We start from the raw sequence: 27736 nt of genomic DNA, 5'->3' as shown, positions 1-27736 counted from the left end.
GCATTGGGAGATATACCTAATGTAAATGACGAGTTAACGGGTGCAGCACACTAACATGGCACATGTATACAATGTAACAAACCTGCACTTTGTGCATATATACCCTAGAACTTAAAGGATAATTAAAAAAAAAAAGAAACTCTCGGGGCCAACTGAATTTTATAAAAATGAATTTGTTGTTTGGTGAAAAAAGTAAAAACTATAAATCCTAGAAGTCAGTTAAAGGATACCTGTAAAGCTCTGTGGAACAAATATTAATAAAGTCAAACTGATCAAAAAAAAAGGTCTTTCCATACATTCAGAAACAAGCAGACTGTCTTCTATTTTTGTTCATGAGTTGTATTTTATAAGAACGTATTGTGTTACCAAATAGAACAGACCTTTGTGAATTGCTCATGTGGCGGCTCAATCTCTTTCAGTTCCTTTCCCATCTTGTTGCCGTCTCTTTTGTTGCTCTTGAAATATTCTCTAGAAGCACAAAACTAAAAAGTGATTAAAATCGGATAAATTTTAATACTTACAAAACATAATTCTGCATTAGCTTTAAATGGATACTCTTTAAATCAATACTTCTGAACACTATTAGACAACATTTATGACCAATTTTAAACAGTTGTGTTCACCACTCATATGCTAAAACAACATAATCTTTCTCATCAGTCATGGAGTAAAGAATATTCTTTCTTATATATATTCAACATGTATGTCCTAATTCTTGGTTTCAAATGAAGAGTATTTGATGACCCTTCCTACAATTTGTTGACCACAGATAGTTAATTTCTAATACAGATCTTTCTTACCTAAGAAACATTCTTTTTTACTAAGATTTTAAACACTTGGTCATTTCAGTATGCACATAGATGAACCTTCCAACAATGATTGCCTTTCTGCACCTTGACCTAATCTCCAACAACAGTGTTCTCCTCTCCTCTATGTGGCACTCACTCACACAGTCATCCCCTAGATTTTGTCATTCCCAATGGCTGCAACATCTCCCGTAATAATAATAATAGCAATGATAGCAACGATAAAGAGCAACCATGGGTGAGATCGCATCCTGAAAATTTTAAATAAACCCATTACATAAGAACCCTTTAATCCTTCAAACAACTCTGAGGTAGGTACTCTTACCATGTCTCCTTTCATAGATAAGGCAACTGAGGCACAGAGATAAATAATTTGCCCATATTTCCAAGCTAGCAATGGTCAAACTGGAGTTGGATCCCAAGCAATGTGGCTGCAGAGTCCCAGCCCCTGACCACTCCACTCAGCTATTTCTCCATCTTCCCAACATACACAGCCACTACCTCCCTGTCACTGTAGGTCACTCACTTCAGTACTACAGCTCAGGAATCTGTAGGGACCCAACACCCAATGGATGGAGCACTTTTCACTGCCCAATGCCCACCCCCATGTGCTCCGGTAACTCAGTCCCAGCTGAAATTCCACAGCCAGTCATCATAACCGCCCCCCCTCCACCAACATATATGCCCTGCCCAACTCTCCCTCTATCAATGTGCTCAGCTACACCCCAACCCAGGAAATTCCAACCCTAAAGTTACTCTTGCACAAATATGCCATCTGGGCTGACTTTAACTTCTTAATCCCTATGACACTGACCTCAGTTGGACCCCTAATGCTGCATGGCAATTATATTCCCCTAGTCCATGAGTCCACTAATGGGCCCCGCTCTCTGGGTTCATGCTCTCTTCCTTCTTTGCTGGATTTCTGCATGAACCATTACTACCTGAGACATTGATACAATAGGTTAATTGTAAAGCTAAGCCTGATACCAACAATTAGTTCTTCTCCTTCTTCTCTCTTCTTCATCTTTCTGCTCACCTGTGATGTATTCTTCAAGGGTATTCGGCTCCTTCTTCTTTCTTCTTCATCTTTCTGCTCACCTGTGATGTATTCTTCAAGGGCATTCAGCTCCTTCTTCTTTCTTCTTCATCTTTCTGCTCACCTGTGATTCAAGGACAGTCAGCAACTTCAGAGAACGTCCATAACTACATTTCTGCCTGTAACACATAATAAGTAACACGGTCATATGTCATAGAGAGATGAAAAATTAATCCTATTCAAACCAAAACTGACTTCACATAATTTATACTATAAAGTAGCAAGGGAGTAATGGCAGCTGAAATCTTCTTTTTGGGAAAAGGTGAAATGAGTTACTGTCATTCTGAAAGGATCCCTTCCTAACTGACTACTAGAGCAGCTATCTTACATTCTTTATGTGCTGAAAACAAAGGAGAGTTTACTGCACTATAAATTTCCCAGAAACAATAATTTTCTCTAACAGCAGTTTACTTTTCATTTCCTCAAACTAAATAACATGTGGGTTCTCATAAGTAGGTTCAAGAATATCATAGCCATTCATCCCGTAAGATTTCCCAAAAGAAATACTTCACTTAACTCTCTCTCCACTTTGGTACAACAATGATTTTCTAAAAGGAATAGTGAAAACAATTTAACTAAAATAGATAACCTATTTACGACATAAGGTTGTCCCTTTCTACATAACTTAATATTGTTAAGGATCTACAGACTAAACGTTGAAGACATTTATCTTATATGCAGCTGCCATATTTCTAGAAATGGATAAAAATTAATTTTACAGGAAGACTATTTTTATCTGGAAGGCAAAAAGAGGTCATCTTCATTGGCTTTCTAGATAATATACCTCAATTCTGTTAAACTTAGGTTATAAAACAAAGAAACTTACCTGCTTAAGGAACAATCAAGTAAACATATTGTTCACTACAGACACCAATATGTACAAGATAGTTTTTGAAATTATTTGCACCAATGAATACAAAGAAATGATAGAAATATCCTTATTCAAAAAAGCCAACAATCATGCATTTTTAGTTGTATTGTTCTCAAAATACGTTTAATTTTGTTGTTTGTTTCGTTGCAAGCTTTTGCAACGCTTTCAATCCTTTTTCTCTTTGCAGCAAGACCCTTTTTAATGTCAGCTAGACAGTAAATGAAAATGCATTAAAAATTAATGTTGAAAAGTAGTTTATTTGCAGATATTGAAATCAATATGGGACATGATGGTTCAGCAATATCAGAAGGATATTTAAAATGCAAAATGGAAAGATCGTTTCAAAAAAGTAAGATTTAATCCTTTTCTGTAAAACCTTTCAGGTATTAATAATAGTTTTCCAATTCCAATTGGTATAACAGCAAATCACTTAATTGACAGATGATGAAAAAAAGCAAATAATTAAAATAGTTTCTATTTTTTAAATGTGCAGAAAGGGTAACAAACACAGACTTTAATTTCTACATCATAAAATGTCCAACAGTTCAAACGACATGTTTCCATGAAATACTGTCACAACTCATTAAGTAAAGCACATAAAAGTAAGACCATCAAAAGGGTAGACATAACATAATACACAATAAAGTATTTTTAAGCAATCTAGTGATTGATGCTATTAACTGTATTTTAATAAAAGAAGCAATGTCCATGGGTATAAAAATTTAGGTTTAAGTAGATAAAGAAATACACTTAAAAACACGTTTGAAATATTTTCTGGGAGCTTTTTATATGACATTTTTATCCACAATGCTGTTTCTGAAAACTGTATTACTGCAAGGAATGCTTTCCTAAACATAGTTTCACATCAGAGATCCACCATCAATTGCTAAGAATAGTTTTCTGCAGTCATAAAAGATCTGCACCATAATACAAATATTTTTTACATACAGTATCCATCTATAGTGGTCGATGTATTAGGCAGCTCACAAAACCAGCACTTTGTCACCACCAAGCAGAGCAAAGCTTTCCAAATATACTGCTTATATGAATTATTGCTATAGAAGAACTGAAAACTAAAGTAAGCTTTTTAAAAATAAGAGTGTTGTCTCCATCGTCTCTACAGAAATTTTCTCAAACTTTTTTGAATAAATGGTCCTATAACAGTCAGTACAACTAATATTTCACATGGCAATATAAAGTTTATGAGTTTTTGGATCCAATTAATTACATGTTTCTCACTGGGTAGAAAAGTTGTCTTTACTTTTCTACTACACAGTTTATTACTGGAATAATAATAGAAAATAATCATTTTAGAGAATTCAATTTTTTCTCATACTTTAAAGAAAACAAAATCAGAAAGCTGTGACAATAGAATAGCTAAATTAGGAACATGAAAAACTCATATTAAAAATTCTGAGTACATATGGACAGGAAGAGGGGAACAACAGACAACTGGGCCTACTTAAGGGTGGAGGGTAGGAGGGGAGGGTGAGGATCGAAAACCACCCATCAGGTACTATGCTATAACCTAGGTAACAAAATACAAAATAACAAAATAACAAAAGTATCTGTATACCAAACCACTGTGACACGCAATTTATCTATATAACAAACCTGCACATGTAACCCCAAACCTAAAATAAAAGCTAAAAAAACTGATATGTGACTTAATGTGTGTACACTAAAAGGAACGAATAGAGCTGTTTCTCCTCCAGTGTCCTCTAATATCCCCCAAACATTAAATTTCCACGTGTATGAAAGAAAAGCCATCCCTCTCACTTGCCCATTATTAGAAGCATTCTCACATTCCACATCAACAATAAAAAAGGAAGTAATACAGATTTATCAAACAGACTATGTTAAATGCTATATATGAGAAGAAGGCATTTAAGACAGTCTTGTCCACTAATTCGTACAGCCTATTGTAACAGTTGTATGATTGAAAACAATTTTCATAAACTACAAATAGCTCCTAAAACATACCTGCAATATCTTCTAGCTTCTGGATATCAACCCTGTAAAAAAAAAGTTACATCAGGGAAATTTATAGCACTAAATGCACACAGGAGAAAGCAGGAAAGATCTAAAATCAATACCCTAACCTCACAATTAAAAGAACTGCAGAACCAAAGGCAAACAAATGCAAAAACTAGCAGAAGACAAGAAATAACTAAGATCAGAGCAGAACTGAAGGAGAAGGAGACATGAAAAACTCTTCAAAAAGCAATGAATCCAGGAGTTGGTTTTTTGAAAAGATTAACAAAATATATATTTAGGATAGTTAGCTCTTCTTGTTGAATTGATCCCTTTACCATTATGTAATGTCCTTCTTTGTCTCTTTTGATCTTTGTTGGTTTAAAGTCTGTTTTATCAGAGACTAGGATTGCAACACCTGCCTTTTTTTGTTTTCCATTGGCTTGGTAGATCTTCCTCCATCCTTTTATTTTGAGCCTATGTGTGTCTCTGCACATGAGATGGGTTTCCTGAATACAGCACACTGATGGGTCTTGACTCTTTATCCAATTTGCCAGTCTGTGTCTTTTAATTGGAGCATTTAGTCCATTTACATTTAAAGTTAATATTGTTATGTGTGAATTTGATCCTGTCATTATGATGTTAGCTGGTTATTTTGCTTGTTAGTCGATGCAGTTTCTTCCTAGTCTCGATGGTCTTTACATTTTGGCATGATTTTGCAGCGGCTGGTACCGGTTGTTCCTTTCCATGTTTAGTGCTTCCTTCAGGAGCTCTTGTAAGGCAGGCCTGGTGGTGACAAAATCTCTCAGCATTTGCTTGGCTGTAAAGTATTTTATTTCTCCTTCACTTATGAAGCTTAGTTTGGCTGGATATGCAATTCTGGGTTGAAAATTCTTTTCTTTAAGAATGTTGAATATTGGCCCCCACTCTCTTCTGGCTTGTAGGGTTTCTGCCGAGAGATCCGCTGTTAGTCTGATGGGCTTCCCTTTGAGGGTAACCCGACCTTTCTTTCTGGCTGCCTTTAACATTTTTTCCTTCATTTCAACTTTGGTGAATCTGACAATTATGTGTCTTGGAGTTGCTCTTCTCGAGGAGTATCTTTGTGGTGTAAAACAGCATGGTACTGGTACCAAAACAGAGATATAGACCAATGGAACAGAACAGAGCCCTCAGAAATAAGGCCGCATATCTACAACTATCTGATCTTTGACAAACCTGAGAAAAACAAGCAATGGGGAAAGGCTTCCCTATTTAATAAATGGTGCTGGGAAAACTGGCTAGCCATATGTAGAAAGCTGAAACTGGATCCCTTCCTTACACCTTATACAAAAATCAATTCAAGATGGATTAAAGACTTAAACGTTAGACCTAAAACCATAAAAACCCTAGAAGAAAACCTAGGCAGTACCATTCAGGACATAGGCATGGGCAAGGACTTCATGTCTAAAACACCAAAAGCAATGGCAACAAAAGCCAAAATTGACAAATGGGATCTAATTAAACTAAAGAGCTTCTGCACAGCAAAAGAAACTACCATCAGAGTGAACAGGCAACCTACAACATGGGAGAAAATTTTCGCAACCTACTCATCTGACAAAGGGCTAATATCCGGAATCTACAATGAACTCAAACAAATTTACAAGAAAAAAACAAACAACCCCATCAAAAAGTGGGCGAAGGACATGAACAGACACTTCTCAAAAGAAGACATTTATGCAGCCAAAAAACACATGAAAAAATGCTCACCATCACTGGCCATCAGAGAAATGCAAATCAAAACCACAATGAGATACCATCTCACACCAGTTAGAATGGCAATCATTCAAAAGTCAGGAAACAACAGGTGCTGGAGAGGATGTGGAGAAATAGGAACACTTTTACACTGTTGGTGGGACTGTAAACTAGTTCAACCATTGTGGAAGTCAGTGTGGCGATTCCTCAGGGATCTAGAACTAGAAGTACCATTTGACCCAGCCATCCCATTACTGGGTATATACCCAAAGGACTATAAATCATGCTGTTATAAAGACACATGCACACGTATGTTTATTGTGGCATTATTCACAATAGCAAAGACTTGGAACCAACCCAAATGTCCAACAATGATAGACTGGATTAAGAAAATGTGGTACATATACACCATGGAATACTATGCAGCCATAAAAAATGATGAGTTCATGTCCTTTGTAGGGACATGGATGAAATTGGAAATCATCATTCTCAGTAAACTATCACAAGAACAAAAAACCAAACACCGCATATTCTCACTCATAGGTGGGAATTGAACAATGAGATCACATGGACACAGGAAGGGGAATATCACACTCTGGGGACTGTTGTGGGGTGGGGGGAGGGGGGAGGGATAGCAATGGGAGATATACCTAATGCTAGACGACGAGTTAGTGGGTGCAGCGCACCAGCATGGCACATGTATACATATGTAACTAACCTGCACAATGTGCACATGTACCCTAAAACTTAAAGTATAATAAAAAAAAAAACAAAATAGACTGCTAGCCAGACTATTAAACAAGAAAAGAGACAAGAATCAAATAGACACAATAAAAAATGATCAAGGGGATATCACTACTGATGCCACAGAAATACAAACTGCTATCAGAGAATACTATAAACACCTCCACACAAATAAATTAGAAAATCTAGAAGAAATGGATAAATTCCTGGACACATACACCCTCCCAAGACTAAACTAGGAAGAAGTCTAATCCCTGAATAGACCAATAACAAGTTCTGAATTTGAGGCAGTAATTAATAGCCTACCAACCAAAAAAATCCCAGGATCAGGCGGATTCACATCTGAATTCTACCAGAGGTACAAAGAGGAGCTGGTACCATTCCTTCTGAAACTATTCCGAACAACAGAAAAAAAGAGACTCCTCCCTAACTCATTTTATGAGTACAGCATCATCCTGATACCAAAACCTGGCAGAGACACAAGAAAAAAAGAAAATTTCAGGCCAATATCCCTGATTAACATTAATGTGAAGGAAATAAGAGAGGACACAAATGGAAAAACATTCCATGCTCATGGTTACGAAGAATCAATATTGTGAAAATGGCCATACTGCCCAAAGTAATTTACAGATTCAATGCTATCCCCATCAAGCTACCATTGACTTTCTTCACGGAATTAGAAAAAACTACTTTGAATTTCATATGGAACCATAAAAGAGCCTGTATAGCCAAGATAATCCTAAGCAAAAAGAAAAAAGCTGGAGGCATCACGCTACCTGACTTCAAACTATATTACAAGGCTACAGTAACCAAAACAGCATGGTACTAGTACCAAAACAGATATATAGACCAATAGAACAGAACAGAGGCCTCAGAACAATGCCACACATGTACAACCATCTGATCTTTGACAAACCTGATAAAAACAAGCAACGGGGAAAAGATTCCCCATTTAATAAATGGTGTTGGGGAAACTGGCTAGCCATATGCAGAAAACTGAAACTGGATGCCTTCCTTACACCTTGTACAAAAATTAACTCAAGATGACCTAAAGACTTAAACGTAAGACCTAAAACCTTAAAAACCCTAGAAGAAAACCTAGGCAATACCATTCAGGACATAGGCATGGGCAAAGACTTCATGACTAAAACACCAAAAGCAATGGCAACAAAAGCCATAATTGACCACTGGGATCTAATTAAACTAAAGAGCTTCTGCACAGCAAAATAAACTATCATCAGAGTGAACAGGTAACCTACAGAATGGGAGAAAATTTTTGCAATCTATCCATCTAACAAAAGGCTAATATCCAGAATCTACAAGGAACTGAAACAAATTTACATGAAAAATGACAACCCCATCAAAAAGTGAGTGAAGGTTATGAACAGACACTTCTGAAAAGAAGAAATTTATGCAGCCAACAAACATATGAAAAAAAGCTTGTCATTGCTGGTCATTAGAGAAATGCAAATCAAAACCACAATGAGATACCATTTCATGCCAGTTAGAATACTGATCATTAAAAAGTCAGGAAACAACAGATGCTGGAGAGGATGTGGAGAAATAGGAATGCTTTTACACTGTTGGTGGAAGTGTAAATTAGTTCAACCATTGTGGAAGACAGTGTGGTGATTCCTCAAGGATCCAGAATCAGAATACCGTTTGACCCAGCAATCCCATTACTGGATATATACCCAAAGGATTATAAATCATTTTACTATAAAGACACATGCACACATATGTTTATTGCAGCACTATTCACAATAGCAAAGACTTGCAACCAACCCAAATGCCCATCAATGATAGACTGGATAAAGAAAATGTGGCATATATACATCATGGAATACTATGCAGCCATTAAAAAGGTTGAGTTCATGTCCTTTGCAGGGACATGGATGAAGCTGGAAACCATCATTCTCAGCAAACTAACACAGGAAGAGAAAACCAAACACTGCATGTTCTCACTCATAAGTGGGAGTTGAACAACGAGAGCACATGGACACAGGGAGGGGAACATAACACACTGGGGCCTGTCGGGGGTGGAGGGCTAGGGGAGGGATAGCATTAGGAGAAATACCTAATGTAGATGATGGGTTGATGGGTGCAGCAAACCACCATGACACATGTATACCTATGTAACAAACCTGCACGTTCTGCACATGTATCCCATATAACTTAAAGTATAATAAAAAAAGAAAAAAGTTACATCAAAATTTTAACATAATGCTACACAAAATGCCATGTTTGTTTAAGAAGAAGAAATGTCTTATGTGAAATGGTGAAATGTTCTGCATAGAACAGTGATTATATGATCCAAAGCTGACTTCTCTGCCTCCCAGATTCAAGCAATTCTCATGCCTCAGCCTCCTGAATAGTTGGGATTACAGGCACATGCCACCACGCCTGGCTAATATTTGTATTTTTGGTGAGACAGGGTTTCACCATTTTCGCCAGGCTGGTCTCAAACTCCTGACCTCAAGTGATTTACCCACCTCGGCCTCCCAGAATGCTAGGATTACAGGCGTGAGCCACCATGCTTGGCTCCAAAGCTGATTTTTCTTAGAAGACGTTATCTGACAGGCAAAACTGACTTAAACACTTTACCCCTTGTCTTCCGCATCGATTTCAGCAAAATGGTCTCTTTTCCGCTGCTTATCAATTGCTGGAGTCTTTCCTGCATTAAAATAAAAAAGACACACCTTTTTTTTTTTTTTAAGAGGAAGACGCTGTTGTGGACATTTTTTTGTGGAGAAATGTACTATTTGTGGACCCTTTTGGCTCTCTGCCCATTAAAGCTTTAAAGCAGCGCTATACATGGAATCACTGGGACCCTGACCATTTTACAGAGGCATTTTTGCAAGCTCTTTGCGGTTTAAGTCCCAGTAAACAAGGCACTACGTGTCAGATCCCTTGGACGTCAGGACCGCATCCATCGAGAAGAGCTGCTCTAAGAGTATCTGTAACCCTGGTATGAGGGAGAACCTCCCATGGGAAACCTAAGGCTCTTGAGCCTGCTTTGAAAAGCTTGGGCATCTTAGCACGTGCAAGGTGAACTCCAAAGCAACATAGGGGCTGGGGGCCTCGGGCTGACTGTCTGCTGCCTGTGTGCCCCCCGCGCAGAGAGCAGACAAACCGTCCCCTTGGGCGTGCACCTTCTTCCGGCTCCCCTGGACTGTTTTTAACTCCATGCTCCATTTCCTGGTTGGCCGTAACCTGAGCCTCCACTGGGTGAGGCCTTCGCAGGCTTCTCCATGAGCTTCCTGCCCACGGGCTCCATGGCTGGTTGTCCTCGGATGTTAGAGGTGACTCCTGAACCTTGTGAGTGCAAAGATACAGTAAGGAAACAGGGTGTGTGAAAGGAGAGCTATCGGGATGGTGGGTTCAAGAAGCGTGGGGCTGGCCCGCCCCGAGTCTCCTGTGGGAGCAGGAGGGATCGCGGAGAATATGTCAGCATCCCCTCCTGTCCTGGCCTGTACAGCCTGTCCCTGGGGCTGGCCGCAGAGCTCGCAGCTGCCGCGCACACCTGAACTCCGCGGCCTCTGGGGGATCCTCGCGGAGCCATTGAGACAGAGCTCGGCCCTGCTCCTGGGTCCCCCAGCGACCCCGTGTGGCCGGAAGAGCTGTGGGATGACAGAGGATCTCCCCAGCTATCTCAGTGGGAGTCACCCGGTGTGCACCTGTTTCGGACAATCAAGGGTGGGCACTGCTACTCGCCCGCCTGGATGCCCAGGGGACCTCCGGTGACCCCAAGTGTCCTGTCCTGCTGGGCAGCCAGGCAGGAGGGACCCACACCGACTCCCCAACCCCTGCACATATGCACAGGCCCCTGGGGCTGCTCCTGGGCCCTGGGAACCACCTGGGCAGCTCCAGCTCTCAGCCCTGGCCCACCCCGGCCTGCCCTCAGGGCCTTGCCCTGATTCAGGCCCCAGACAACGACACTGGGGCCATTTCCTCACAGGTCAGCCTGGGGCAGCCCGGTGCTTCACACGGTCATCCCCAAAGGGCCTCATGCCGGCTTTCCCCGCCTCCCCACCATGGGCACAACACCTGAGGGACCCCCCACATTGCTCCCTCAGTGGACCTGCAGACGCTGGCACCACAAGGCTCCTCTGAGGGCCTGGGTCCTCGGTTCTCTTGAGAGCAGCCAGCCTGCCTGCCCGCACTCCTCGCTGATTGGTCGACTCAGTGCACATGTGGGTGGTGGGCCGCTGGGGCCACGCCCCCTGCAGGCATGCCCTCCCCCTCAGGGACCACCCATGGTAGCTGTGGACTCAGGGAGAGGGTGGCTTTCTGAGGTCTCTGTCCCCACGATATTCCAGCTCCTCATCCTGGCAAAGGAAGCAAGGACCCAGGAGTGGGGAGTGCCAGGGGACCCTGCCCTAAGGAATGGAGGCCAAGTGAACGGGGCCTAGGACCTTGCCCCCAGGCTCGTTCCAGCCACCCCTACCCCTTTGGATGCAATGGCCATCACCCTGAGGGTGGAGCCCAGGCTCCCTCCCATGCCCTGTGTGCTTCCAACATGCCCAACTGCATTCTTTTTATCAATGGATTGTGCTTTTATGTTTTATCTAACAAAATTGAAGTTGCCTTTGGAGGGTAAAAATATATATATGTATGTGCACACACACACGTGTGTGTGTGTGTGTGTGTGTGTGTGCTTAAGCAAAGGTTTTCCTTTTATATTCATAGATTACATTGCAGAGGTATAATGGCATACTTTTTATATTCATAGATATTTTATATCCTTTTATATTCCTTTGTATTTCCTTTTATATTCATAGATAAATTGCAGAGGTATAATGGCATAAAATGGGCATATTTAAGCCTTTGGGTACTTCAGTTAGAGAATATTCCTAAGGCAAGAATTAAGATGTATTCATGCATCATTTCTCTTTATAATTCTGTTGTCAAGTATTATAGAAATGTTTGTCGGTTTCATTTTTATCACCAGGAATGATTTTAACCAAAAGCTTTCAAAAACCCTTTAATTTTGACCCAGCAAAATCAAACATTTATTCATGTATTTATTTATATAAGTTTAAGGGCTACGAGGGCAATTTTGGTACATGGATCTATTGTGTAGTGGTGAAGTCTGGGCTTTTAGTGTTCCCATCACCTGAATAATGTACATTGTATCCTTTAAGTAATTTCTCAACACTCTCCCACCCTTCTGAGTTTCCAGTGTCTATCTTTCCACTCTCTATGTTCCTGTGTACACATTGCTCCGTTCCCTTATAAGTGAGAACATGCAATATTTGTCTGTGTTTTACTTGTTTCACTTAAAATAATGGTCTATAGTTCCATTCGTGGTGCTGCAAAAGACATGATTTCATTCTTTTTCATAGCTGAATACTATTCCATTTTACATATAAACCACATTTTCTTTATCCAGTTATCCGTTGTTGGGCACCTGAGTGTTGATTCCATATCTTTGCTATTGTGAGTGGTGCTGTGATAAACATATGAGTTCTGGTGTCTTCTTGATGTAATGATTTATTTTCCTTTGGGTAGATACCCAGTGGTGGGATTGGTGGATTGAATAGAGTGACATATGCTGGGGAGAAACATTTAGTCTATAGCAGGGAGTCAACAATTTTCTTAGATAAAACATAAAAGCACAATCCATTGATAAAAAGGATGCAGCTGGGCGTGTTGGAAGCACACAGGGCATGGGAGGGAGCCTGGGCCCCACCCACGGGGTGATGGCCATTGCACCCAAAGGGGCAAGGGTGGCTGGAACGAGCCCGGGGGTGAGGTCCTAGGGCCCATCCACTTGGCCTTCATTCCTCAGGACAGGATTCCGAGCACTCCCCATTCCCGGCTCCTTGCTTCCTTTGCCAGGATGAGGAGCTGGAATATTGTGGGAACAGAGGCCTCAGAGAGCCACCCTTGCCCCCTAGGTCCTCAGCTACCATGGGCATGCCTGCAGGGGGCGTGGCCCCACACGGCCCCACTACCTGCATGCACACTGAGCCGACCAATCAGCGAGGAGCACGGGCAGGCGGGCTGGCTGCTCTTGCAAGAACCCGGGACTCAGGCCCTCAGAGGAGCCTCGTGGTGTCGGCATCTACAGGTCCTATATATATTTTTTTATTTAATCTTTATTTTATATATATATATTTTCTCAAAGTATGTAATTTTGTGGCTGAATTTAATTTTATCTTTGTGCATAGAAATCTATAGACAATCATAATGCAGGGACACTTTATTAGCATGACCTAACCTTTGAAATCTTGTCTAGGTGAGTCACGAATTTAGTTCATTATCAGTCAGTTCTCTCCTAGCTGGGAAACGTTCATGCAGACACACATGGAACTCAATTAGACTGGGTCAGTGTGATATCTGCAGGGGCTCTAGTGATGTGTGAAACACACAGGGAGACGGAGATCTAATTTTATGATCTTCACTGTCAATAGGAGAGAAGAAAAGGACTTCTGAATAACATCACCGTCAACTGCCTCACAAAATCTCTGAAAGCAGTGCTCTAGGAGTTACAGTGATTGCATCAGGAGCTGCAGTTTTGGGGGCAATTGAGAAGGAACTCCTTTCTCTGTATAGGCTGCAGAGTTCCTGAAACTTCTCCCCAATTAGAAACATAGAAAATTATTAGCCTTACTTACCAGTGCCATATGACCTGGGACTACTCAGAGGAAAGGGCTGATTAGTTAAAGAAAATATGTCTAGAAAGAAACCAAAGAACATTACTCCCAAAAGGCACCTTCAGGAATCCAACTATAACATTTTTGGGTAGATTAATATATAATACATATATAGTCTAATATTCTAATAATATAGTAAAACGGATGAGGTTTAGAACAAATTAGGAGACACATTCTGTGTCAGATGCCAACTGCATCTGCAATTTTGGGCAAGGTAATTAACTACCTGGAGTTTCTGCTAAATTGAGGTTGGCAGGGGCACTGGGTTGATTAATTTGATCTTGAAAGTGCCATGAGGTCATGGACTATCTTCTTATCTTTATTAGGGAGCTATTTCTTACATTTATAAGACTCCTTTACTAAGTTAAAGGTGTTTTCCTTCCTCTACCATATACAATTTTTAAAAACTGTTCCCAGCTGGGCGAGGTGGCGCACACCTGTAATCCCAGCACTTTGGGAGGCCAAGGTGGGTGGATCACGGGTCAGGAGTTCGAGATCAGCCTGGCCAATATGGTGAAACCTGCTATCTACTAAAAATACAAAAATTAGCCAGGTGTGGTGGCGGGTGCCTGTAGTTCCAGCTACTCGTGAGGCTGAGGCAGAAGAATAGCTTGAACCCAGGAGGCAGAGGTTGCAGTGAGCTGAGATTGCGCCACTGCACTCCAGCCTGGGCGACAGAGAGAGATTCTGTCTCAAAACAACAACAACAACAAAACTGTTCTCATAGGCCAGGCGCAGTGGCCCACGCCTGTAATCCCAGCACTTTGGGAGGCCAAGGAGGGCGGATCACGAGGTCAGGAGATTGAGAACATCCTGGCTAATACGGTGAAACCCCGTCTCTACTAAAAATACAAAAAATTAGCCAGGCGGGCTAATTAGTGTGGCGGGCGCCTGTAGTCACAGCTACTCGGGAGGCTGAGGCAGGAGAATGGCGTGAACCCAGGAGGCGGAGCTTGCAGTGAGCCGAGATCGCGCCAGTGCACTCCAGCCTGGGCGACAGAGGAAACTCCATCTCAAAAAAAAAAAAAAAAAACAGCAGTTCTCGTAATTTATCTCTATTTCTGTTTTGTATTTGAATGAATGACACTTAATTCATCGAGATTTTTTAAAGAGCATTGCAGAACTCTCATAAGATGAGGCTGGTTGTATCATTTATAAAATATTTACAGCATCTCAGAGAGCTCTGAATAATAAATGACTTCCATTCAAATAATAGACTTTTAACATTTTCAAACTCGGCTTTTCAGTAGATATCAACACTCTCAATCTCATTCCATTTGTGAGTCTACTTTAAAATACCTTTAATCAAATGTGTAACTTAATAGTTCTATTGATAGAAATATAATTTTTCTCTATATGTTTTGTTTTGTTTTTCATAATAATAGTAGCAAAAGATACAAACCAAAATCAATTTTCTAGATTAATGTTGGAATCTCCTGGTTTCACTTTTGAGAAACCACTCCTAGTCTAAAATGCATTATTACATTGTTTGTAATGATATTTAAAAGCTGGAGGAACATAAACTCCGCAATAACTGCTTCATTTTTAAATTTGACCCATCTTCGGTTTGTGGAACGTGTCTGAAATTGCACAGCTGTTTTTATTTATAGTCTAACTGGGGAATTTCACTTGTGAAAGATGCTGTAACAAAATAAATGTCCCTGTGTCCGTTGCATTCTGTGGCATTCTAAGCCAACAAAATGTCAAGAAATACCATTCAAATCCTTTCAGCTACAATGAGGCTGAATTATCATTCTTTTCAAGTTCTTGTTTTTGAGGGACTGTTATAGCAGAAATTCACATGCAAAAGAATTGCTTTAATTTATGTACCATGCTACTATTTTTAACTTAGAAAAAAAAGTCAGACTCCTCTTTGGACCTCAATACTGACAACTTTCATCAGTAATAATAGGCTGTACTGTTATTCTGTACTACCTTTATTCAGCAGGAATAACAGGCTGTACTGATGGATGTACTACAGTGATGCAAGGACTCCAGTAAACTGGCAGGCAGTGAAGAGGTATGCTTCAGGAGTGTCACAAAAGTGGTGATGACTTTGCAGAGAACAGAGCCACCCGTTTATCGGCCTGCCTCTGCTTAATGCATGTTGCTCAAATGCCTCTATGAAAATACTGCCCCAAATACAAAACTATACTATTGGACTGCCCTTCCTTTATAACTTTGAGGGATGGTCATTGCCACTTGCTAATTGCCAAGCTCTCTTACAAAGTACATATTCAATTTATTTCCCTGCCTGCAACTGTATGATGTATAGTTGTTTCCAAGAAATGATGACTAAGAGGTACTGAGAGATTTTTGTCATTTTTTCTTCAAAAAAAGTCAACTGGTTTCCTGCTCATTCTTTCCATTTAAGTTGGCCATAGAAATCCCAGTGGTGACCCTCAGGTTGTCAAAGGCCTTTCTTCTTGTTGCTGTGAGGTTGGCCTGCTGATAGTAACAGATACACCCCACTCACAATTATTTCAGGATCAAGTAGATCCATTGGCCATGGAGTGATGGTCTTTTCAAGTAAGGCTATTTTGAGAGGTAATAAAATATTCATACACTTAATTTTTCTTTTGTACTTGCTTGTTTTAAAATACAGTTCTGTACATAAATATTTTTGACAAGATGAGCAATAGATCTATTTTTTCACATTATAAAACAAAATTATTATAAAGATAAGTCAAAAATGACTAAGTAGAACATTCTATTTGGTTATTAATTTTCACTGGACTTTCAAAACACTTTTCTGTATAACATATTCATATATTTTGAATTCAGCAGTGCAGTCAGATGTTTCATGTAAGTGGCTGGGCACAGTGGCTCACACCTGTAATCCCAGCCATTTGGGAGGCTGAGACAGGCAGATCATTTGAGGCCAGGAGTTTGAGACCAGCCTGGCCAACATGGCGAAACCCCATCTCTCCCAAAAACGCAGAAAAAATTAGCCAGGCATGGTGGCACACATCTGTAATCCCAGATACTCGGGTGGCTGAGGCACAAGAATCACTTGAACCCAGGAGGCAGAGGTTGCAGTGAGCCTCGATTACGCCGCTGCACTCCAGCCTGGGCAACAGAGTGAGACTCTGTCTCAAATAAAATAAAATATGTAAGTGTAACATGTAAGAGTAAACATAATCTTACGTAGTGATTATCTGAATTATTTTTTCTTTACTTTTATTCTACATGGGTATTATAAAGAGTTGTGTGTTCATAATAAAGGCTCCCTTTTCTACATAGTTGGTCTTCCCTTCTTCCCTCAACATTTTAAAAAAATTCTACAGAATTTACACAATCAACATTCTTCCTTTTAAGCTACATTATTAATTTCTCCCCAAAAGAATTACAGTTTTTCAGCAGCTGGGAAATGGAACCAAATGATGTTTAATTCTCCCAGCAGTGAGGTGAGGAAACATGCACAGAGCATTGCTGCCCAGGGAGCTCCCCCAACCCTGGCATCCAGTATGGTTTTGGGGCGTGTAGTCATGGCAGACTGTCTGCATGACTGAACTCAGTTGCCAGCCCCTCCAGAGGTCAAGACTGATACAGGTGGCCCAAAGCTTCCACTATAAATCACATTGTTAGCATTAACTATCTAGCATAACTCAAAGCTCCAGGTAAACAAAGACATTATTATCAGGCAGGATATTCCAAGGGCTTAGAGGTTATCTCCTGGAAGGCTGTCAAAGAGCAGATGTTCTTTGGAAAGTGCAGGGTTTGGACAACACAGATCTGCTGAGCTAACCTACTACTGCACTCTTATTCAGCTCTTATTCTGAATTCTCTCTCTCTCTTCCTAAAATGTGCAGATCCTTACGGATGGATGGGAAAATCTGGGAAACACAGCACTCACTGTAAACACACCATGCCTAGAATTTGGCTCCTCTTCAACAACCCGGGCTTTTGAACTGGGTCGAAGTCACTATGCCAGGATGACATTTTTTTACGTTAGAATGAATTCCCCCCTGGTGGCTCCTCATCCTCCAGGTATACAAGGCTCCTGGATGACCCATGGCCTCCACGGGGCACACCACAGTCTGAATCACAGCTGATTTTCTGGATTGCCCTTGGACTCAGCAGGATGATTCCACATCTTCCAAATTCTAGATATCCTGATATCGCAATATTTTTTATCCCTGTTTCTTAATGAAAGGGTAAATGGAGGTAGAGGTGTTTCTCAACAACCTGCAACAACACATGTTTCTTTCAATTATTCAGTACTTAATTGGAAATCAAAGCCCCTTTCTAATGTATCGATAACATTGGGAATTGATGACTATTGTGTAGTTGTACTTAATCTACACCATGCTAATTCCTAACATGGGCTATGGAGGCAGCAGAGCGGCAGGTGACAACATATGCACTTCTCTCCCTCTCTGCCCAAAGCTCCTGGTAACTGTCAAATGAGCAGAGGACGGGGAGACAATAGGAATATTTTAAAACTGTGGTTTTCAGGTTGGGAATATATTAATATCATACAACCTAATTATTTCCTTACTTTGTCTATATTGTTGTATATTACCCAAGCTTCAGAGCTGTCAGAGCAAACCTCAAAGATGAGGAGCCAGCTGGCAGGTAAAAAGCAAAACAAAAACAGCCCGTTGCTCAATGACTAGGATTTTTAGTTCAATTACATTTCCTTGCCATCTAAATAGCCAGATGCAATGACCCATAGATAGAGCCAGTGTAGAACAGATGCAGTGACCCATAGATAGAGCCAGTGTAGAACCTAACATAATAATGTCTAAAGGGGTTAGTAATTGTTCTACTCAATTTGTTTCAGCCATTCTATTGGAATTCCTATTAATTGGAATTGATGGTAAGTATATGGAATGTCATGTAGTGAAACAAACAAACAATTTAGAGCACACCAAGTTTCATGGACAACAAATAACAAATCACTTTTTAAAAATCAATACCAACCAGGCCAGGTGTGATGACTCACACCTGTAATCCTAACACTTTGGAGGCTGAGGTGGGAGGATTGCTTGAGGCCAGGAGTTCAAGACCAACCTGGCCAACATAGTGAGACCCCCATATCTAAAAAAAAAAAGAAGAAGAAAAAAATGAATAACAACGAGTACAGTGAGATCAAAGAACACTAGCTACCATCTACCCTTGGTTTAATACTCTTGAGAAGGCTGGCATATGTGGAGTCTCTCCAGGAAGACATTTGAGGCAGAAAACCAGAATAGGGGCAGGAAATGTATTATTTCATCATCTGAAATGGGGACTTTATTAACTCTCCTGAGTATAAAGTCAAGAAAGAAGGTATTTTTCAGGACTGTTTAATTAAATGTCATTCTGTTTATCAAAACAGAGAAACCTGGCAGGCATTTCTAACCATATGGGATTTTTGGAAATACATGAGAAACATGTGATTACGTGTTTAGCTGAATATTATTTAAAATGTATGCAAAATCCTGAGAGGGCTTTTGAACTAAGTTCCTAAAATCATCCTCTGATGCATCCTATTTGATATGCTGCTGTGTGCCTAAAATTATTCCAGTAGAAATAAAGCAGAGCCTCAATAAAACCAGCCCCTTTTAATGAGCTGCTTCTTGTAATTATAATTATCCATAATCATTTATTTTGACTGTAAGTAATATAACAAGGCAAAACCTATAATTTTCTAAAGTAATATAATCAATATAAAAACAAAGGTGTTTCATACTACTAACGGAAGATAAATGTATCCTGCAAGCTGAATGTTGGCAGATCAGCTTGTGCTCTTCTAAATCATCTAAATATCATCAGTGCCTTTGATTACAGCCTCGTGCCCAGTGCTTTAAAAATCAAAGTTTGCTTTTAAGAAATGTAATTTAAAAACTGCTGATCATCTAAATCTTGGGAGGTCAAGGGCACTCTTATTTCCTTTATACTTACAAGTTTAATTTGATGTTTTCCAAAATAGACTTGGGTATAAATTTCACATCAATATGCTAAGCAGAGCCCCATGCAGAATATTTCTGAGTGGGATTTATTGAATATAAGGTTATTTTTATGACTGGGACATTACAGTTGCAATCATCAATGAATAAAAAATAAATTTAAACAACTGTCTCTAGCATCAAGTTGAAACTCAAGTCTCAATAGAGCAAGTTTCAGGAAGAGGTGGGATTTCAGGTAACATGGAGAACAGCAGCTCAGATCCTTTTCTTAAAGGACGATTCCCCCTTGACATGAAGCCAGCAACTCACTCTGCATGCAGAACATGCAACACATTTCCATGCCGGGGAGAGAAGCATGTGACGTCATTCATTCACTCATTCAGTCATTAGTCATTCCCTTATTCGTCTATCTAATAGCTGTCAATACTCCTAGTATGTGTTGGGCATTGTACTACATGCTAAATATATAGAATCTCTTTTCTAAACTCAAAAAGTTATAAGTAGATGGTAGTAGTGGTCAGGGTAAAATACATTTGTGAAAGGAAGAAATTACAGTGACAAGTCCTATAATAGATGGCAAGTGATGTAGGATCCATAAGGAAGAAGGACAAATTATTTATAGTATAGATAGGGAAGACTTTACAACAGGAGAAATTATCTGAGATTAGTTTGGAAGGATAAGAACAAAAAGGTACTCCAGTAGAAAATTGGGACAAAAAGTAGAAAAATGGGGCACTTTAGTCTGGGAGTCATAAAAGGTGGGGTATACTTGGAAAGAATAAACTTTTTGTAGAACTATAAGAGATTTCAGGGTCTGTGTGAGTTATAGTTTCAGGAGATTAAGTTGAAGATATTTGGGTACAATATATTGAGGTATATCATAAGCCAAGAGAGAATATAGGTTTTATTTTTGCAGGTCAGTTGTTCTCAACTGGGGGCAACTTTGTGCCCCCTCCCTGGGATATTTGGCAAGGTCTATATTTTGCTGTTACAACTGGAGAAGGGGGCAGGCTACTGGCATCTGGTAGGTGGAGACCAGGGATCCACTAAGCATCCTACACTGTACAGGACAGTCCCCACGGCAAAGACTCTGCCCCAAATGTTGACAGTGCTAGGGTGAGCAACCTTGCTCTAGATAATGGAGAGTAACTGAAAGATTTTACATATGGGAAAGAAGTAAAGAGGTACTTTCTAGGAAGGTGATGCAACACCTCCTAGGAGGTTTGCCACATCACGGTGGTCATCAAAACACTGGGTGTCAATAAGAGAAAAAATATTCGCCTGCAGGGAGAAAGATCAACTAACTTCTTGAGCATCTACTCTGTGCTGGACATTCAACGTATTATACCAATCTCCCCATGATATTGGCAACTGCTACTTTCTGCAGCAATGGGGACTACCAGATGAAACAGGATGAGACTAGAGGCTGGGAGACCATTATAGATCAATGTTCACTCTCACATGGAAACAGTGGAGGTCTGGACTGTAGCAGTGTCCATGGAGATGGAGATGTGAGAGCAAAGAGGAAGGTCAAATCAAAAGGAGTTTTTTACCAATTAAATGTGAGAAGGGTTTAACCACCAAATGGAAGGTTTACAGAACGACTTTGAGGTGGCTGGTTCAGAAGACTAAGTAGGTAGCTGGAGAGACTGCAAAAGGAAGTCTCAGAGGACAGGTACAGGGCTACCCATACTTGTGACCTTTGGGGTGCCCATGGGAGGTTCAGATGTAGATGCCTGGTAAGCAAAGGGAAAAATAAGTCTCCAGTTGTAAAGAGACCTCAAACAGATATGTGTTTAAGAGTTTGCAACATCACAATGGTCATCAAAACACTGGGTGTCATTAAGAGAACAATATTTGCCTGCAGGGAGAAAGATCAACTAATTTATTGAGCATCTACTCTGTGCTGGACAGTCATTATGTTATCGTCTCAGTCTCCCCATGATATTGGCAAGGAGACTGAATGCAGACAGGCCCAGGGAGGTGCTCAAAGTCAGGCAGCCAGTCAGAGGCAGAGCCAAGCTTGGAATAGTGTCTCACCAAAACCAATCCCCATCCATTCATTCTTTCAAGATTATTTATAAAGTGAATTGCTGCGTGGAGAAGAGAAGCCACAGAACAGGTTGAGAAAGAAGACCCTGAGATAGGAAAAGAAAAAGTGAATGATATCATCAAGTCCAAAGGAAGGAAGAGCTTCAAGTAATAGTTTCAGTTCTCAATTGTAAAAAGATTCAGAGTCAGACCAGAGGATGCTTCTGCCATAAATTGCTATCCAAATGATATCAAGTCATGCACACACACACAGAGTTTATATCAGAGTTAGAATGTGTACACTGCATTAGACACTGAGCATCATCAGGGTCTTGCTGGAGGGCAAGGAGCAAAAAACAGACCATAATTGGTAGAAAAGTACTTAGAGTTTGAGGAAGTAGAGCCAGGAAGAACAGAAGGAAGGTAGGGTGGTTGCTAAAGGGAAGATATTTTACAGATGAAGATTCAGACTTGAGCGTAGATGTAGGCTGAAGGACTTGAGTGGAAACACCAAAGTTTGAGTATGTAGGAGTGAGGGTCTAAATGAGAGAATGAAGGAGTTTGGCCTTGGTGTGGAGAAGGGTCCACTGTTTGTTTAAAATAGTGGTCTTCAATCTTGTTGGGCCAGTAGACTCTCTTGAGAACCTTGTGAAAGTTTTAGATGTCGCCCCAGAAAAACATCTGTAAACATTTACAAAACTGGGTATGATCTTAGGGAGTTCTTGCTAAAATCTCCTAAGCATAAAATTTAACAGGCTCTCCTTGAGAGTGAAGAGGTGCTATTAATGTTATTACAGAGGACAACAGCCTCCATCTAAGCTTCAAGCAATCCCAGATTGGTGAATTGGAAGTGGCTGGAGAATGTGATGAACTGGATTTCCTCTGTGCCGGCATTGATTATTGTGGCGTGACTGAATCACAGTAAGAGTTCCCCTGAAAAGAGCAGTTTGAGTTTGTTAGAAAAATGGCACTCTGGAAATTGATTTCTTTCAAACAATTCAACCCTGTGAAATCCTTGCAATATCCTTGTGTAAAGCCAGGGTTATGTGGATGACCTCTGAAAGCCATTGATGTGGAAATTCCTAATTTAGAAAAGTTATCAGAAATGTTTCTGGAAATGTTTACACCTAGAAGAGCAATTTGGTATATCCCGGGGGAAGTATCCAGAGCGAGGAAATCAACAGGAGCCCAAAGTTTTGCATTCTATTTATTGAGTAAAAATATATTGATTGCTAGCCACATGACAAGACCTGTTCCAAGTGCTTTATGAATGAATTCATTAAATCTTCATCACAAGCCTACTAGGTAGGTACAGTTATTATCCTCCATTTCACAGAGAGGGTAATGGAGGCACAGTGAGATAGCAGGGTTGATCTTGGTTTGGGTCAGGGAGTAGATTTGGAACAAGGCTGTCTGTTTCCAGAGTCTGACCTCCCACTTTTACTCTATATTGAGAAAGTTTACATATTATAATATGTTCACACATTTACTCAGTCAGTTCTTTTTTTTTTTTTTTTTTTTTTTTTTTTTTGAGACGGAGTCTTGCTCTGTCACCCAGGCTGGAGTGCAGTGGAACAATCTTGGCTCACTGCAACCTCTGCTTCCTGTGATTCTCCTGCCTCAGTCTCCTGAGTAGCTGGGATTAAAGGCGCCCACAATCACACCCAGCAAATTTTTGTATTTTTCATAGAGATGGGATTTCACCAGGTTGGCCAGGCTAGTCTCGAACTCCTGACCTCAAATAACCTGCCCGCCTGGGCCTCCCAAAGTGCTGGGATTACAGGTGTGAACCACCATGCCCACCCAATTCTTATAAGCTTTCAAATATCATATTTGTTTAAACACCTGTATTCTTTAGTGTTGTAAAGGTAACTATCCATCCTCTGACAGGGACTGTAGATGAGAGGAAATGCATCCAGGAATCTAATTTATCACACCAGGGTCCTATGGATAGATTTAGGGTTATGGGAACAGTACCTCATCACCGGTTATAGATTTTGAGAGCCTTCAATGAGCCACCTCTGAAGCCTTTTTAAAGATGGCTGGACATGCTTAGGCAGAAGGTCTCTGATTTGTGTGCTAAAGCTCCTTCAAATGAAGAAGTTTCAAGTGAACAGAAATTCTCAGGTGTTAAATGCTGCTACAACTCCGGAAAGACTGCCAACTCCTGCCAGGTGACCAGAAACTCAGTCAACTTCTCTGCTAACTGACCTCCAAGCAACTTTACCCATAATAGCTAAGAATACCAGCCAATACTTGCTGAGTATTTCCTGTGGACCAGGCTACACACACACACACACACACACACACACACACACACACACACACACACACACACACAGATCCAGATGCTCAGTTTGCACACAGTGGTACAGTAGTGGAGGGTCATAAAAATAAGCATGCAAGTTGAAACCACCTGATATGGTTGGGTTATATTCCCCACCCACTCTCATCTTGTATTGTAGTTCCCATAATCCCCATGTGTGGTGGGAGGGACCCAGTGGGAATTAATTGAATTATGGGGGCAGTTACCTCCAAGCTGGTATTCTCGTGATAGTGAGTTCTCACAAGATCTGTTGGTCTTATAAGGGGCTTTTCCCCCACTTCACTCTGCACTTCTCCTCGCTGATGCCATGTGAAGAAGGTAGTGTTTGCTTCCCCTTCTGCCATGATTGTAAGTTTCCTGAGGCCTCCCCAGCCATGTGGAACTGTGAGTCAATTGAACTTCTTTCTTTTATAAATCACCGAGTCCGGGTATGTTCTTATGGCAGAATAAGAATGGAGTAATACAGAGGACCTGCTTTGACATTGGATAGTCCTGTGAGCAAGTTCTGAATTTATCATCTCACAGCTCCTGCCCATGTACAAGTTACTTACTCTGTCCTAATCTCAGTCTCCTTATCTGTAAAATGGAAAGAATAATAATATTGGCTTCATAGAATTGCTGTGAGGATGTAATAGGATTTTGGATACTAAGCACTTAGCTTATAGTACTTACTCAATAAACACTATTTATTACTACTGTGTGCTGTATCACAGGGAAGTTGTGGTGGTCAGATGAGATCATTGGCATTCAGATATTTAGAAAAGTTAAACACTTCAGAACTTTCTTCTGAAGGACTTTGTTGCTGAGTTTTCAGCCCCATTCAGTGAATGTAACTAACTCTCATATTAGTGCGTTTCTGCAAAAATGATGAGGTCTTTTGTTATTACTTTCATTGAGGAATAACATATATAGTAATGTACATAAATATGAATGTGCACAAATACAGCTCGATAGGTTTTTAATATGTGAATGGCATGTTACTACCAACCAGATCAAGATGTAGAACATGCTCAGCACCCCGGAAGAGTCCCTCATACCCTCTTTCAGGTAATATTTATTCCTCAAAGGTAACCCTTACTCTTCCTTCTGTCACCTAAACAAATCTTTCCTTGGACAATATTTCTATTATTATCTCTAGAATTAATTGTAATATGGAAAATACTGTTTTATAAGCCTCATTCTCTGAATCTGATCACTTTAAAATTAGGAGGTATGCACTTCATTGCTCAGACCCAACCCAAGAGTTCCATCTGACTTCCTGGCTTTGGACAGTGCTGACAAGTCCTCAGGGCATGCCCCATGCTGGGCTATTCACTTGGAAGGAGACAAATGCCTAGGAGGCCTGGTTTCACCCTCAGAGAGCTAGTCTAACTAGAGAAAGAAGCCTTAAAATGGAATACCATCCCTAACAGCAAATGAATCCATAAAAATCATGTCTCAGGGAGCAATCTCATGTTTTCTTGTTTTCGACCGTCCTGAAGACACTGTTTGGTATTGGTCTTTCCCAAGAGGATGCCCAGATTAACCACCTCCCACACAGTTGGGTCCTTTGCTTTGGGGTCACTAGGATGTGGAAAGCTTGCTGCCTTGCCATCTGCTATTGTGTCACAGGTGTCTGTGAGGTCTCTCATGTAGGACATGGTTTCCTCTTGACACATTAGTGAGGACTTCCACAAAAGAGGGCAAAGGGAGGCCAATCCCTATGTGCTTATTCCAAGATGTATTCTATCAGGACATGTTACCCCAGTTGTTCCTGCAGGTCACTGTTGTCTGTAAGACAGTGCACACACTGGGAGCAGTTAGCAAGCATGCACTCATCACCATATGCACCATGAAAACACTTCTGTGCAGTATTGGTAGTTGTGGAGCTTGCATTTCTTTAAAAGACAGAATGGCATTTAACCACACTTATTGCCATCCAAGGAGCTGGTGGAACATAAACTGTTCTGTATGGTTGCAAGCACATAAGCCTCTTGAGCAAGTTTTCTATGCTTTATGAGAACAAAAGATGAGACATTTTATTCTTCAAAAATGGGGGACTCCAAGACAAACCACAGATTAATCACAAAGGAGAAGAGGAATAAGCAGTTGCATTGTGCATCTCTGGTCATTTTGCTGAGGATTTTAAAAGAGAAAATGGTGTGCTAAAGCAATGCTTCATTTCACATTATTGCACGTCATCCATCATTTTGTATAGTTACCTATTCGTAACATTCACCGCTATCTAATTAAGTGAAAAAATTTTGTTGTAAGTAATTAAGTGTTTTTTAATAGGCCAGCATTCTCAAAGATCATACTTTGCCTGTAAGGAGACTTCAAGATGTTGTCTGGAGTTTTGGAGTTTAAAGTATATATTATCCTTGTGAGATTATGTAAACTCTCATATTTGTGGGAATACAAATGAGCAAAACTATTTTGAAAAGCTTGATTTTACCAAATAAAGTCTGAGATTGCATATACACAGATCCAGCAATGCAACTTTTACATATACACCCTGGAGTGGTGGTTCCAGACTTTAATGTGAACCAGACTTTAATGTGCACCATAATCCCCTGAAGGGTGTGTTCAAACACACATTGCTGGGTGACACCCCAGAGTTCCAGATTTAGCATATCTGGAGTGGGACCATAGAGAGTTTGTACCTCTAGCAGGTTCCCAGGCGATACTGATGCTGCTGGTCCCAGAACTACATTTTAAGAACCACCGTCTCAGGGAGACTTGTGTACATACACGCTCATAAGAAGACATGAGCAAAATCTTTCAAAAACATTGTTCCTAATAACCCCAAGCTAGAAACAACTCAAATACCATCAACAGTTCAATGAGGAAATGAACTGTGGTATATTCATACCAAAAACCCCTACTATATAGCAATCAAAAGGAATGATCTACAGCTACCTGCTTCAACAGGATGAATCTCATGAAGTGTTGGTGAACAAAATAAACAAGGCAAGAAACAGTATCCATAATGTGATTCCATCTGTATGCATCCCAAAACAGGAAAAACAAAATCATATTCTTTACAAATGCATGAACAGATGGTAAAACTATGAATAAAATCTGATAATTGATCATTGCAAAAGTCAGACTAGTAATTATCTGGGGCTAGGAGGAGGGAAGCATACAGGTAGTTTCTCAGGTACTAGCAATAGTCTACGTCTTAACTTGGCTTAACTTGGCTATTAGATATGTTGGAGTTGGACTTACGATTATTACTTAGACAGAACATTTGTATTTATACACATCTACATAGAATACATAAGTTTTAAGTATTTAAGAATCATTTTATCTTTTAAAAATAATGTCCTCTATCTGGTATGTATTCTGACTTTTGGCAACTTGTTTGAATTTTAGGATCTGCCCATTGGTTATGAAAAATCAAATCTTTTAAGCTTTAATAGATGGTTTAGTTATTCTGCTGGGTCAACTATTGAAATGAAAGAATTTTTGTTACTGCCAAATACATTTGAGATATGAACTAGCTATGAACAAAGTGTTACAGAGTAAAAGACCTGTAAGGCCTAATTGGAGAACAGATTAGAATCTTGTACAGTTAGCATGTTTATGGTCTGTGTAATAAGTCATGACAGGCCCTAGTAGATCA

At 40.3% G+C, this 27736-nt stretch overlaps 1 protein-coding gene and 1 pseudogene across 5 annotated transcripts in view; one reads left to right on the top strand and one right to left on the bottom strand.

Moving 5' to 3' along the window:
* The window catches only part of ARHGAP6 (Rho GTPase activating protein 6), a 528377-nt gene that overhangs the window by 439784 nt on the left and 60857 nt on the right, over nucleotides 1-27736 (top strand). The window lies entirely within an intron of this gene.
* FAM9CP1 (FAM9C pseudogene 1) lies at nucleotides 406-4789 on the bottom strand (annotated as a pseudogene).

This window comes from Homo sapiens, chromosome X (genome assembly GCF_000001405.40).
Source record: "Homo sapiens chromosome X, GRCh38.p14 Primary Assembly".
Classification (NCBI taxonomy): Eukaryota; Metazoa; Chordata; class Mammalia; order Primates; family Hominidae; genus Homo; species Homo sapiens.
Note: the sequence above shows the minus strand (reverse complement) of the source record. Positions and strands in the feature narration are given on the sequence as shown.